This window comes from Homo sapiens, chromosome 8 (assembly GCF_000001405.40).
Source record: "Homo sapiens chromosome 8, GRCh38.p14 Primary Assembly".
In the NCBI taxonomy this organism is placed as follows: domain Eukaryota; kingdom Metazoa; phylum Chordata; class Mammalia; order Primates; family Hominidae; genus Homo; species Homo sapiens.
The window spans coordinates 11,751,149-11,765,416 of NC_000008.11; the positions used below are offsets into that span (position 1 = coordinate 11,751,149).

The 14,268-nt window shown below is 48.2% G+C and overlaps 1 protein-coding gene and 1 long non-coding RNA gene across 6 annotated transcripts in view; both read left to right on the top strand.

The window, feature by feature from the left end:
• The window catches only part of GATA4 (GATA binding protein 4), an 83,068-nt gene extending 74,214 nt beyond the window's left edge, over positions 1-8,854 (top strand). For all 5 annotated transcript variants that reach the window (NM_001308094.2, NM_001308093.3, NM_002052.5 and 2 more), the window contains 3 exons: positions 3,898-3,985; positions 5,787-5,935; positions 7,145-8,854. In NM_001308094.2, coding sequence (NP_001295023.1) covers positions 3,898-3,985; positions 5,787-5,935; positions 7,145-7,327 — 420 coding nt within the window. In that variant the 3' untranslated portion in view covers positions 7,328-8,854. The remainder of the gene's footprint in view (positions 1-3,897; positions 3,986-5,786; positions 5,936-7,144) is intronic.
• On the top strand, positions 10,108-12,076 carry LINC02905 (long intergenic non-protein coding RNA 2905). The gene has a single exon (NR_171032.1). It is a non-coding gene; the product is annotated as a long intergenic non-protein coding RNA 2905 (long non-coding RNA).

Below are 14,268 nucleotides of genomic sequence, written 5' to 3' on the forward strand. Positions count from 1 at the left end.
ATACCTAGGGAAAGTAAAGACCAATACACACAGTATCAGAAAAAGGGTTAATATTTCCAGAATTACAAGGAGCTTCTACAAAGCTCTTTAATTTTTATTGGAACATTCTCCATTATACAATATTAACAAAAAGGCAAGGTGCCCAACACTACCTACTATGGCACTATTTTTATAAATATGAGGAAGAATATAATTTATAGGTGGTTGCTTCCACATATACAGAACACCTCTGGTAGGATATGTAGAGATTGGTCACATGGTCACATGTATGCATATATACGTACATGGGGTGCCTCCAGGAGAAAAACTGGGGTCCTGGGGAGAAGGGATTGGAAGGACACTCTTTTTGCTGTGTACCCCCTTGGTACCTTAGACGGGACATATGCAAGTCTTAATTGTTCAAATACAAGTTAAATTAAAACCAAACCAAACCAGAAACAGATAGGTCTTGTAGCCTAATAAGAAAAGAACAATTGATCTTTCCCCACTTCCCCCAAATGGGCAAAAGATATGGACTGACATCTCACAGAAGCTGCCCAGATAGCCATGAAACATGTGCACATATGCTGAATCTCACTAAAAATCAGAGAAATGTACCTGAAAATGACCATGAAAGTCCCTAGTTTGCCCATATACTTGGCAAAAATTAAAGTGTTTGCTGCTATGGATTTGGGGAATTAGATACTCTCATATATTATTGATCTGTATTTGAATTACTGCATCTATTAACTTAGTGGTATTTTTTAAGGTTGAAACCATGAACACCATTATATCTGGCAGGTCTACTGTTGGGAAACTAGCCTATAAAAAATAACCAGTACATGATGACCTTTGAACCATTTATTGCTGCATTGTTTGTGGTGGCAAAAACTAGAAACAACCTTAAAACCCCATAAAGGAATGGTTGAAAAAATTCTGCTATATCCCAAAATGTGGAATATTGAGAAGAAACTTAAAAATAATAATCTAGGGCCATGTATCTTGATCTAGAAAATGAAAAAGCACATTGCAAAGAAATATATGTAGCATGACCCCATACTATGAGTGTCGAAGGTGCATTAAACAGACATACATATGGATGGGTGGACAGACCAGTGGATGGGTGAACACACACACACAAATATACACGTATAGGTGTATTAGTCTGTTTTCACACTGCTGATAAAGACATACCCAAAATTAAAAAGTGGCTTAATGGACTCACAGTTCCACATCGCTGGGGAGGCCTCACAATCATGGCGGAAGGTGAAAGGCACGTCTTACATGGCAGCAGGCAAGAGAGAATGAGAGCCAAGCAAAAGGGGTTTCCCCTTATAAAACCATCAGCTCTCATGAGACTTACTCACTATAGTGAGAACAGTATGGGAGAAACCGCCCCTGTGACTCAGTTATCTCCCATCAGGTCGGTCCCACAACATGTGGGAATTATGGGAGCTACAATTCAAGATGAGATTTTGGTGGGGACACAGCCAAACCAAGTCAATAGATATATATGTGTACAGATGTTTGAGAATTTTTTTAAATGTAAGAATATATAACAGGCTGTTAAATCCATTTGCCTCACTGGGATAGGATTGACGGTAGTAGAGTGAGAGGGCTGTTGTTAACTTAGTCTCATGTATCTTTTCATGATTTCTTGTTATAATGAACAAGCAAATGGCTAAAGTTATGAACATTCATAAGAAAATATTTCTACAAAGCATGTATACAAGGATGTTTGTTAATCACTGTAATAGCAAAAATGGAGGAAAGAAAACCTTTGGAAGGAAAATGGTTAAACTATTGTTCTTCAATATGGGAATGGTACAAGAAACTTATTGGGAAATATTATATAGGTATTAAAAAGATTATATTCTCAGAAAATAAAAAAATAGAATTACCACATGATCCAGCGTACCATTTCTGGATATATACCCAAAATAATTAAAGGCAGGGCCTCAAAGAGCTATTTGTACACTGCTGTTTATAGCAGCATGATTCACAATTGCAGAAAGATGTAAACAACCCAAGTGTCCACGGAGAAATGAACGGATAAACACAGTGTGATATACATACACGTAGGATATTACTCAGCCTTTAAAAGGAAGGGAATTCTGGCCCCTGACACCACATGTCAAATCCATAGAGACAGAAAGTAGAATGGAGGCTGTCGGGGGCTAGGGAAAGGGGGAATGAGGAGTGATGTTTAATGGGTATGGAGTTTGAGTTTTGCAAGACGAGAAGAGTTCTGGGGATGGTGGTCAGGCTTGCAGAACGGTGTGAATGCGCTTAACACTACAGAGCAATATACTTCAGAATGGTTCAGATGGTAAATTTTAAGTTAGGTGTGTTTCATTTTACTGCAACTGAAAAAAAAAAAGCATACCTAAGTGAATGGAGATTAACGTGAGGGGGAGATTCTTCTGAGGCCAGAATGGGTTTGAACATTTGAGGCATAGCTAGGGGGATGGGGTGGGGGAGGACACCCTTCCACAAGGTGGGAAATAGGGGTCTGGGTGTAGAGTCACAGAGAGATGTGCAGATGGTGGGGTCGGGGGGTGCAAGTGCCACCCCATCTACCCACAGTTAAATAGGAGGCCAGTTCAAGTTCACATATGCTGGTGCATTTCTCGCTTAACCATTGCGTGTTCATGTCTCTGAAGCAGTAATTGCTTTTCTTTCTGTATTTGCAGGTGTGGCCTTTATCAATCCCACATGGTAGACAAGCACAGCATAGAAAAGGGGCTAAAAGATTTGGCTCAGCCTAAGAGAAACCAGATGTGGGGAAGGCACCCTGCAGTCCTGCTCCCCAGGACTGGCTTAGGCATCTGTGAATGGCTCTGGGGCCTGCCTCCCAACAGAACTGTGGTCAAAGTGTTGTCCAGGGACATTTTATCTCAGAACCTGGTCACAGGGCAGTCTCTAGCATAGTCTCTTACTGCTCCCCACCATTCACAGAAGCACCAATGGCTCCAGCCAGACCCAATGCAGTACAGAGCTGCAATAAGTAGAGTGATGTTACATCTCAACTCACTGGGACTGTTGCTGTTGAGGCCAATTTTCCCAGCACAATAATTGATAGCACCGCTGCACCCTCACACCTTTTGAAGATAGGGCCTTGCTCCACCACCCAGGCTGGAGTGCAGTGGCACGATCACGGCTTGCTGGAGCCTCGACTTCCTGGGTTCAAGGGATCCTCCTATCTCAGCCTTCTGAGTAGCTGGGACTACAGGCATGCAGCACCGTGCCCAGCTAATTTTAAAACTTTTTTGTAGAGATGGGGTCTCACTATGTTGCCAAGGATGGTCTCGAACTCCTGGGCTCAAGCAGTCCTCCCACCTCGGCCACCCAAAGTGCTGGGATTACAGGCATGAGCCACTGTGCCTGGCCTAGCACCCACTTTTTGTTTTCAGGGTCCTTGTGTGGATGATAAAGGCTTTTGAACAGTCTGTCTCTGCTGCCTGAAATGCCTGCCTCTGTCTACTCAAAACCTTTTACAAACTCAGGTGTCACCTCCACACTGAAGCCTTCCTTGATATCCTCACGTGCCCCTCCTTCCCACTCCTCACCCCAGGACAGAGTTTAGTGTTTCTCTGTCTTTTTACATCACCGACCAGAGTCTGGTTATTTCTCCTTGTCTGTGAATTTCTGAGGGTAGGAGCTGTGTGTCTTTAGTTCCCTATTCTCCAGGCTCTAGTAAAGTAGCCATCACATCACACAGGTGCTCGATAAGTTTTTTAAAAATGGAATTGATTTCTTTCTCGCTGAGTTCCAGGGGCCTGTGCAGCCCGTCTGGGCCCCAGGCTTTGTGGAGAGATTGCTTAGGTGTTGCCTTCTCGCAGCAGGTGTGTGTCTTTCAATGCTGTAGCAGACTACGCAGAAATGGAAAACCCTATATATTTACTTGTGACCCTCCAGGTCCCCAGGCCTCTTGCAATGCGGAAAGAGGGGATCCAAACCAGAAAACGGAAGCCCAAGAACCTGAATAAATCTAAGACACCAGCAGGTGAGGAAAAGATCTGTGAGTGATTATATGAGTACATCAGGAGCCCTCAGAGTGCCTAAGAATCATATCTTCCGGGTTAGGCAGGCCAGCCCGGGCCGCCAGGGGGTGGTGACAGCATCGGACATCCCTGGCCTTTCAGGACAGGATGAAGAGCCCAGCAAAAAAGTAACAATTGCCATGGAACGTGTTGGGAGCTTTCGAAGCAGGCTCAACTCAAGCTGGGGCCTGATCATTGCCGACTGCAAAGACCCAGTGCTCAGGCTGGACCAGCCGAGGTCCTGCAGGAAAGAGGAACTTTACTCGGTCCTTTCATCTTTGGCGCTGCAGCCACCCAAAAGCTCAGTTCCTTTCAATTCTCTTTGGGCTAACGGGGATCCAGGAGGGCAGGGTCCAATTAATCATGTCCCTAACAGATTGATCTCTAAGCCAATGTATAATTAACATCATGCAGTGCTTTGTGCTTTAGAAAGCCCCTTCAGAAATATTATCTCCATGAAAGTAAGACTCCATGAGAACCAGTTTATGACCCCATTTTACTAACAAGCAAACTGAGGCTCATAGAGGACAATGATTTAACGAGGGTCATACAGCTGTTAATGGGTAGAGAATTAAAACCCAAGTTTTTCTGCTTCTGGGTCAATGTTCTCTTCAATATACCACTCTGCCTTCTTAATTTCTAGATTAAGAATAAGGGCTGCTCAAAAGTTTGAGGCTGCAGTGACCTATGATCGTGCCACTGCACTTCAGCCTGGAGAGCAGAGCAAGACCCTGTCTTTAAAAAAAAAAAAAAGAAATACATTTAAAAAGAACGAGGGCTGTTCTTTTTTAAATTTATTTTTAATAAATATATTAACTATTTATTAAATTTAAATTAGATTTATTTATAAAATTATATATAAATTTCTGACAGAACAACGGCTGTTCTTTAATACGTTTATGTTCCCTACCAAAACATTCCTCACTCAGTACTGCTACCCAGTTAAAGATTTGACTGGTCGGTGCTGCAGTCACAGAGAAAATGAATTGGCTGATCTGACGAAAAATTTATCTTCTAACCTAAGGCATGACAGAGTCAGATAAATGGGCCCTTTCCACTACCAAGAACATGATCAAAGTTCTGCTTTTGTACATTCAACCATGGCTTATCCCTTCTGGCAGGCATATTTCCTACTGGAATTTTCAGTGTCTCACACCTGTGGTCTTCCACCTCTCCTCCTGCTTCCCTACTGCTGACGAGTCCCCTATGTCCCCTGGGTAACCTTATTTCCTCTCACGTAGCAATCACAGATAGAGAAGACATACGGTTCAGGCGCACGATTCCCAGTCCAAAATTCCAAATCCAGGAAGCAAGATTCGGCAGCAAAACCTATTTTGAACAGACACTAGGCTGTTGATAGTCTCTGTTTACTCCATTCAGTATGATATTCACGTGTTTTGCTGTGGGGATATTATTGTATTTCATTATAGAGTATTATCTCAGGCCCTGCTGGAGGTATTCTGTAATAATACACAGTATTTGGATTTTTAAAAATGTGAATCTTCAAGTTGAATGAGGAAGAATCTTTTTTTAAAAAGTTTTGAAGCCTGAAACACACGTGGCCTCAAGGGTTTGAGATGAGATAGGGGGAAGAAGCCATCCCTGTGAGAACTGTAGCCCTCCGCAGATAAGGACCTCTGCTGCTGTCCCCGGCAAATGTAGATAAAGCCATTAGCTTGCACCCATCCCGGCTGTCTCGCAGGCTGCCGGCTGTTCGTTTGTCCCTGCCGCTGATTTGGGTGTGCTGACTCTGCTTCATTCCAGCTCCTTCAGGCAGTGAGAGCCTTCCTCCCGCCAGCGGTGCTTCCAGCAACTCCAGCAACGCCACCACCAGCAGCAGCGAGGAGATGCGTCCCATCAAGACGGAGCCTGGCCTGTCATCTCACTACGGGCACAGCAGCTCCGTGTCCCAGGTACGCGCCATGGCTGGGGCGCCAGGGCTGTTTGTGGGGAGGCCGACTGCAGAGTCCCAGAGGCCAGCCTAGTACTGGGTGGGACTTGCAGCCAGGCCTCACAGGTGCAAGCAGTGAGCTACCCTCTGCGCTAGGAAGACCCAGCCATTGAGCTGTGTGGTGCCCTCAGGGCCGCACGAGGCTAGGGGCATCTGCATCGGGCTGTATTTCAGGACATCTTATCAAGATGGTGATGTGGACATGACTGTGACTCACAATTTTTTAACAGCTCCTCTATGCCATCATCTTTGGAAACAAAGAGAGGGGAGTCCAGGGCTGGCATACAGCATGGGTGGCAGGGGCGGAAAACAACACAGAAGTACAACCTGAATGAGACTGCGTGCTGGGGCGAGGGGAGGCGTGGTTGCGCTGTCGGAGGCCGAGCGGAGGTTCTCTAGGCAAGTCTGCCTCCTACGTGCAGGGAGGTTAGACTTCAACAGGGAGGGTGGGGAAGGAGGAGGAAGCTGGCATGGGGAAAGGCCTGGATCCTGCAGAGGGCAGGCAGGGCAGGCTGGTGGGGAGGTCACAGGCAGGATGCCACTTTCATGAGACCCAGCTCTGCACGTGTGTCAGGGGACGCCCTGGGGCAGCCCATGTTCCCTCTGGCGGAGGACGATGGCGTCTCGGCCTCCCTGCCTCCTCCCCTCTGCAGTTCCCTCTCTTGGGACCAGGATGCACCAAGCTTGATCACGGTCTCCTTTGACCAGCCCTGGCTGTTATCTCGTCTCTGCTCTTAACTGAAGGAGGCCGTGTCTTAGTGAGCTTCTTATTGTCTGGGAGAACCTGATCCCACAGAACCAGGGGCACCAGGAGCCCCTTCTGGGCCGGGTGGATGGCTTCTTTGTTGGAAAGTGGATGTGGTGGTGATAGGATGGTAGAAAGTGTCTCCTGTAACCATCAGAGCCTTCTGGGCAACCACAGTATCCACAGGGCCACCGGGTCATAGCCCTGGTTGTATACTGTGCTCAGAAGCAGCTGATGCATCACCCAGACCCTTCATGCCTAGATCACCGGGATCAGGAGAAACAGAGAGAAGTGCTCCTTGGTCCCTTCCTGAGGGCTGAAGCCATCCTGGGGACATCTGCATAGCAGGGCACCCTCCCCAGCCTAGACCTCCCAAGCCCTCAGGAGCGTCTCCATGGGCCTCATCGTGTGCTTTCTGCTTTTCAGACGTTCTCAGTCAGTGCGATGTCTGGCCATGGGCCCTCCATCCACCCTGTCCTCTCGGCCCTGAAGCTCTCCCCACAAGGCTATGCGTCTCCCGTCAGCCAGTCTCCACAGACCAGCTCCAAGCAGGACTCTTGGAACAGCCTGGTCTTGGCCGACAGTCACGGGGACATAATCACTGCGTAATCTTCCCTCTTCCCTCCTCAAATTCCTGCACGGACCTGGGACTTGGAGGATAGCAAAGAAGGAGGCCCTGGGCTCCCAGGGGCCGGCCTCCTCTGCCTGGTAATGACTCCAGAACAACAACTGGGAAGAAACTTGAAGTCGACAATCTGGTTAGGGGAAGCGGGTGTTGGATTTTCTCAGATGCCTTTACACGCTGATGGGACTGGAGGGAGCCCACCCTTCAGCACGAGCACACTGCATCTCTCCTGTGAGTTGGAGACTTCTTTCCCAAGATGTCCTTGTCCCCTGCGTTCCCCACTGTGGCCTAGACCGTGGGTTTTGCATTGTGTTTCTAGCACCGAGGATCTGAGAACAAGCGGAGGGCCGGGCCCTGGGACCCCTGCTCCAGCCCGAATGACGGCATCTGTTTGCCATGTACCTGGATGCGACGGGCCCCTGGGGACAGGCCCTTGCCCCATCCATCCGCTTGAGGCATGGCACCGCCCTGCATCCCTAATACCAAATCTGACTCCAAAATTGTGGGGTGTGACATACAAGTGACTGAACACTTCCTGGGGAGCTACAGGGGCACTTAACCCACCACAGCACAGCCTCATCAAAATGCAGCTGGCAACTTCTCCCCCAGGTGCCTTCCCCCTGCTGCCGGCCTTTGCTCCTTCACTTCCAACATCTCTCAAAATAAAAATCCCTCTTCCCGCTCTGAGCGATTCAGCTCTGCCCGCAGCTTGTACATGTCTCTCCCCTGGCAAAACAAGAGCTGGGTAGTTTAGCCAAACGGCACCCCCTCGAGTTCACTGCAGACCCTTCGTTCACCGTGTCACACATAGAGGGGTTCTGAGTAAGAACAAAACGTTCTGCTGCTCAAGCCAGTCTGGCAAGCACTCAGCCCAGCCTCGAGGTCCTTCTGGGGAGAGTGTAAGTGGACAGAGTCCTGGTCAGGGGGCAGGAGTGTCCCAAGGGCTGGCCCACCTGCTGTCTGTCTGCTCCTCCTAGCCCTTGGTCAGATGGCAGCCAGAGTCCCTCAGGACCTGCAGCCTCGCCCCGGCAGAAGTCTTTTGTCCAGGAGGCAAAAAGCCAGAGATTCTGCAACACGAATTCGAAGCAAACAAACACAACACAACAGAATTCCTGGAAAGAAGACGACTGCTAAGACACGGCAGGGGGGCCTGGAGGGAGCCTCCGACTCTGAGCTGCTCCGGGATCTGCCGCGTTCTCCTCTGCACATTGCTGTTTCTGCCCCTGATGCTGGAGCTCAAGGAGACTCCTTCCTCTTTCTCAGCAGAGCTGTAGCTGACTGTGGCATTACTACGCCTCCCCACACGCCCAGACCCCTCACTCCAAAATCCTACTGGCTGTAGCAGAGAATACCTTTGAACCAAGATTCTGTTTTAATCATCATTTACATTGTTTTCTTCCAAAGGCCCCCTCGTATACCCTCCCTAACCCACAAACCTGTTAACATTGTCTTAAGGTGAAATGGCTGGAAAATCAGTATTTAACTAATAAATTTATCTGTATTCCTCTTTCCCTCGTCCCTTAGTGGTCTTCACTGGGAGGTTCAGCGTTGCTGTTCTCTCCCGGGGAATCTTGAGGCCGTGTAGGCACTGACCCACTCACAGCTGCTTACTTTATTTTTGGCCATTGGCCAATGCTCCCTCTTTAGGTAGCAGTGGGTCCCGAAAAGCACACTCATCCCAGCCCTGCTAACATGAGACATTAGATGGGGGTCACCGCTGGGCTTTAATTTCCTGGGAGAGGGTTGTACCTATCCATAAACAGAGTTCCTTGTGGTCCAACAAAAGTTGCTCAATGTATTTATTGATTTATTGAGACAGGGTCTTGCTCTGTTGCTCAGGCTGGAGTGCTGTGTGCCATCATGGACCTACCTGGCTCAAGCGATCCACCTGCCTGTGTCTTGAGTAGCTGGGACCACAGGTGCACACCACCATGCCCAGCTAATTTTTTATTTTGTAGAGATGGAATCTTGCTTTGTTGCTGAGGCTGGTGTTAAACTCCTGGGCTCAAGCAATTCTCCCACCTTGGCCTCCCAAAGTGCTGGGATTATAGGCATGGATCACCGCTCCCAACCATCTGAGGGCATTTTTAGAGCTCTCCTCCAGACCTCAGGGTCTGGAGCAAGAGACTCCATCTACCTGGAAGAAAATGTTCTGTCTAGCCCTGTCTGACTTAAAAGTGTGTCCCTCCAGGGCAAGGAGCTCTTGCCATTTTATGGTTTGATCCAAACAGGCTAAGGGGCAAATTATGTCCCACAAGAATGAGAGAGAAGGCTGGCAGTTCCTCTCCTTTATCCATTTGTCTTCACCTCCTTAGGCCACAGGGGTGCTTAACCACTTCATCTTAAAAGTATGTGGAGTGGGGCTGGGCACGGTGGCTCACCCCTGTAATCCCAGCATTTTGGGAGGCCAAGGCAGGAGGATTGCTTGAGCCTGGGAGGTGAGGACAAGCCTGGGCAACAGAGGGGGACTCTCTACAAAAAAGTAGAAAATTAGCTGGGTATGGTGGCGTGCCCCTGTGATCCCAGCTCCTTAGAAGGTTGTGGGAGGATCGCTTGAGCCCAGGAGGTCAAGACTGCAGTGAGCTGAGCTCATGCCACTTACACTTCAGCTTGGGTAACAGAGCGAGACTCTGTCTCAAACAATGAAACAAACAACAAACAAAACCTTTTGAAGCCCGCATCAAGTCCTTTAACAATTAAGGAGAGCATTTATCTTTAAAATTAGACTTATATGCCTCTAAGATAGGTGAGCAGTAACAAAATTAATTTTAGCTGGGATTATGCTGTGATTATGTTTGGCTTAACAGTAATGAAAATAAGTTTAGGCTGGGTGCGGTGGCTCATGCCTGTAATCCCAGCACTTTAGGAGGCTGAGGCAAGCGGATCACCTGAGGTCAGGGGTTCGAGACAAGCCTGACCAAGATGGAGAAACCCCGTCTCTACCAAAAATACAAAATTAGCCGGGTGTGGTGGCGTCTGCCTGTAATCCCAGCTACTGGGGAAGCGGAGGACAATCGCTTGAACCCAGAAGGCAGAGGTTGTGGTGAGCCGAGATCTCGCCATTGCACTCCAGCCTGGACAACAACAGCGAAACTTCATCTCAAAACAATAATAAGTTTACAACCTCTGAATATGTACCAAATGGAGCCAGGGGTGGGGAGTATTAGGACAAGCCCCGCACTGCAGAGCCCCCCAGCTCTCACTCGTGGACCAAGTGCATGGGACACAGCCATTCGGAAAGCTCTTTCTTTTGGAGTGGGTCTGGGTGTTCTGGTTTTGGTTTGCTTGTTTTATCATTTTGTGACATTGGCGCCTATTCTTCAGTTTGCATCCCTGCCTTGCTTGCTTGAAGCTGGAGCACAAATGTCCCGTCACCCTGTAACAACACAAGTATGCGTCATGCCTGCGAGGCTTAGCTTGGGAAGTGGAATCTCCAGGAATCTCCTTCGGTTGTCTGTCTGCCACTTTACACTGTTGCTCCCATTTCGGTCACTGAGGCCCTGTCCCTTATCCTCCAGGGACATGGTGCTGTCCTATGAGCTCTGGCTCCTTTGTGACTTTTACATTGCTCCTCCAGATAGCAGTGGCAGTGGCATTTGCAAAAAGGCTATTTGAGAACAAATAAGAAAAAATCTTCAAAGCGAAGATGATAGTAAAACAGCCCTCATTTTTCAAAGTCCATTCTTTTTTCTGGTCCGTGCACTGCCAGCTCACTTCTCTGGCTAAAACCCGGGGGCGGCGGGGGTGTGTGTGGGGGTTAGTTTTGCAAAAAGTACTGATGGCACCGCTGTGCTCCAAGTTAACCAGAACACAAGAATCGAAAAAGCCTGTGAGATACTGGTGCTCGTGATCGTAAGCTCCAGGTCGGGGGGTTTTCAGATGAACACAAAAAGGGGGCTGCTCCCGTCCCAAGATGAGTGATAAATGAGTCACTTCTCATACTCGCACTCACACTCGCTCCATTTCCTCTGGGATGACTGTCTTCCGTCCTACCGCTGTGGCTGCTGTTATTTGCCTGATAAACTTCTTTCCCTCTCCCTCCCTCTGACACAGAAACACACACACACACACACACAGACACACACACACACACACAGCCCGCTGGATCTATAAGCAGTTTGTAACAGGATGCACCAGTTCTAATCACGTTTCAAGTCAAATGAACCAGTCGCAGCTTCCTAATAAGTGAATGGCTGACATAAGGAGTTAATTCAGAAGCAGCTCAATACTATGGACAATACTAGTGGACAATATTAGCATACTGCTCGTACAACAAAGATACCGTAGTCTCTGGTGCTGCCTCTTCAGGACGAATTTGCTGAAAGTGAGTTGTAATTAGAGATGTTAAAAAAAACATTGGCTGCGCGCGATGGCTTACTCCTGTAATCCCAGCACTTTTGGAGGCGAGGCAGGTGGATGACCTGAGGTTAGGAGTTCGAGACCAGCCTGGCTAACATGGCGAAACCCCATCTCTACTAAAAATACAAAAAATTAGCCAGGCATCGTGGTGGGCACCTGTAATCTCAGCTACTTGGGAGGCTGAGGCCGAAGAATTTCTTGAACCTGGGAGGTGGAGGTTGCAGTGACCCGAGATCATGCCATTGCACTCCAGCCTGGGCAACAAGAGTGAAATTGTGTCTCAAATAATAATAATAATAATAATAAACTGAGATTTATCATTCCTCCTCTCTCCTTTTCCTTGAGAACTTAATAAAAATGGAAAATATCCATTACTTCTTGGGCTCTTGATGATCTCAAACTGTTAAGCTGGAATGGAGGATAGATGTGGTCGGTAAACACTGAAATCAAGAACCTTAAGTGGGCCAGGGCCCTGCTGAGCAAAGCAATGGGTCCAGATTGCCCCTAACATGCTTTTCCATTGGAAGGAGCTGCTATAAACTCCGAGGCTCCCGGGCCCTGCTGGAGACTCTGGGCTGGAATCCTCTGTGATATCCTCCACAGTCGCCCATTGTATAGCTTTCCTTGGGGATTCCTCAGAGTGGCTTCCAACCTTCCCACTGGCAGAGTCCCCTTTACCCACTCCCACCCCTGCCATGGTCCCCATTTTTGTTTTTGTTTTTATTTTTGAGACAGAGTCTTGCTCTGTCCTCCAGGCTGGAGTGCAGTGGTGCAATCATAGCTCAGTGCAGCCTCCACCTCCCGGGCTCAAGTGATCCTCCCACCTCAGCCTCCTGAGCAGCTGGGCACTACAGATGTGTGCCACCACCACATTTGGCTAATTTTTTTGTATTTTTAGTAGAGACAGGGTCTCACTATGTTGCCCAGGCTGGCCTCAAATTCCTGGGCTTAAGTGATCTGCCCACCTCGGCCTCCCAAAGTGCTGGGATTACGGGTGTGAGCCACCACACCCAGCACAGGTCCCATGTTTTGAAGTAGTTTTAACTAATCATTTGGGGTTTTCCTCATTTTTTGTAGCTCAAAAACAAACGCATGAAAATTATACCTCAATTTAAAAATGAACAAGTCGGGCATGGTGGCTCATACCCATAATCCCAGCAATTTAGGAGGCTGAGGCGGGTGGATTATTTGAGGTCAGGAGTTTGAAACAAGCCTGGCCAATGTGGTGAGACCTCATCTCTACTAAAAATACAAAAATTAGCTGGGGGTGGTGGCGGGTGCCTGTAATCCCAGCTACTTGGGAGGCTGAGGCAGGAGAATCCTTTGAACCTGGGAGATGGAGGCTGCAGTGAGCCGAGATCCCGCCACTGCACTCCAGCCTGGGCGACAGAAAGAAACTCCATCTCAAAACAAACAAACAAACAAACAAACAAACAAACAAACAAACAAAAATCATAACGGTTCATCTCTGCTAACAAGTACCAGAGAGTCAATACAGCAAGCTGGATTCCTGCCTAAGGCAAAGACATTCCATTTAGTTTACTTTGTGGCCTTGTGACAGATACTAAATGGATGGTTACTTAGATGTTTTCTGACTGTTTTTCAATGGCTTGTGGGTTCCTCTGGGTCCTTGGGCCTCCAGGAGGGGCCACTGCCGCACACACACACCTGGAAGGATCCTGTATCCATAGACCCCTGCGCTTCTGCCTCCTTAAAAAAAAGGAGGGGACCGGAAGTGCCCACAACGGGGAATTCTGAGACTTGTCTTCCGGCACAAGTTTGGTCATGGGCTGGCTGTGTGCTGTTGGGCCATTCACCCAACTGCTCTGACCTTAGCATTCTCATCTGTAAAATGGTTTGGCCTGGATAGCTTCAGGTGTCCAAGACTGGACCAGCAGCTACGGAATCACATATTGGAGGAAAATGACTCACCCCTCTCTCTGGGCCTCACACACTCTCATTGGTACAGATGACACCTCAGGGCCCCAAGATTTGAAAATGCTCTTTCTGGAGACTCAAGATTGATGTCTTGGCCAAGTGCGGTGGCTCACACCTGTAATCCCAGCACCTCGGGAGGCTGAGGTGGGTGGATCACCTGAGGTCAGGAGTTTGAGGCCATCCATGGCCAACATGGCGGAACCCCATCTCTACTAAAAATACACAAAATTAGCTGGGCGTGGTGACAGGCGCCTGTAATCCCAGCTACTCGGGAGGCCGAGGCAGGAGAATTGTTTGAACCCAGGAGGCGGAGGTTGCAGTGAGCCAAGATCATGCCATTGCACTCCAACCTGGGCAACAGTGCGAGACTCTGTCTCAAAAAAAAAAAAAAAATTGGTGTCTCGAGTCTCAAATAGAAAGCAGTGTCTTCATTGTGACCCAGTTAATGAGGTTTAAAAAAATGATTCCAGAATCATACATCCAAAGAGCATTGTTCCTCAAAGTAGCCTTGGAAACTGAATTTCTCCCAGAAGACAAGCTGCTAATGACTGGGAAGTTAGCACCCCTAAGTTTCCAACAGCTGGCCGGAGAGACTGAATGGAACAAAGAAAACTGAACCCTGCTAAGG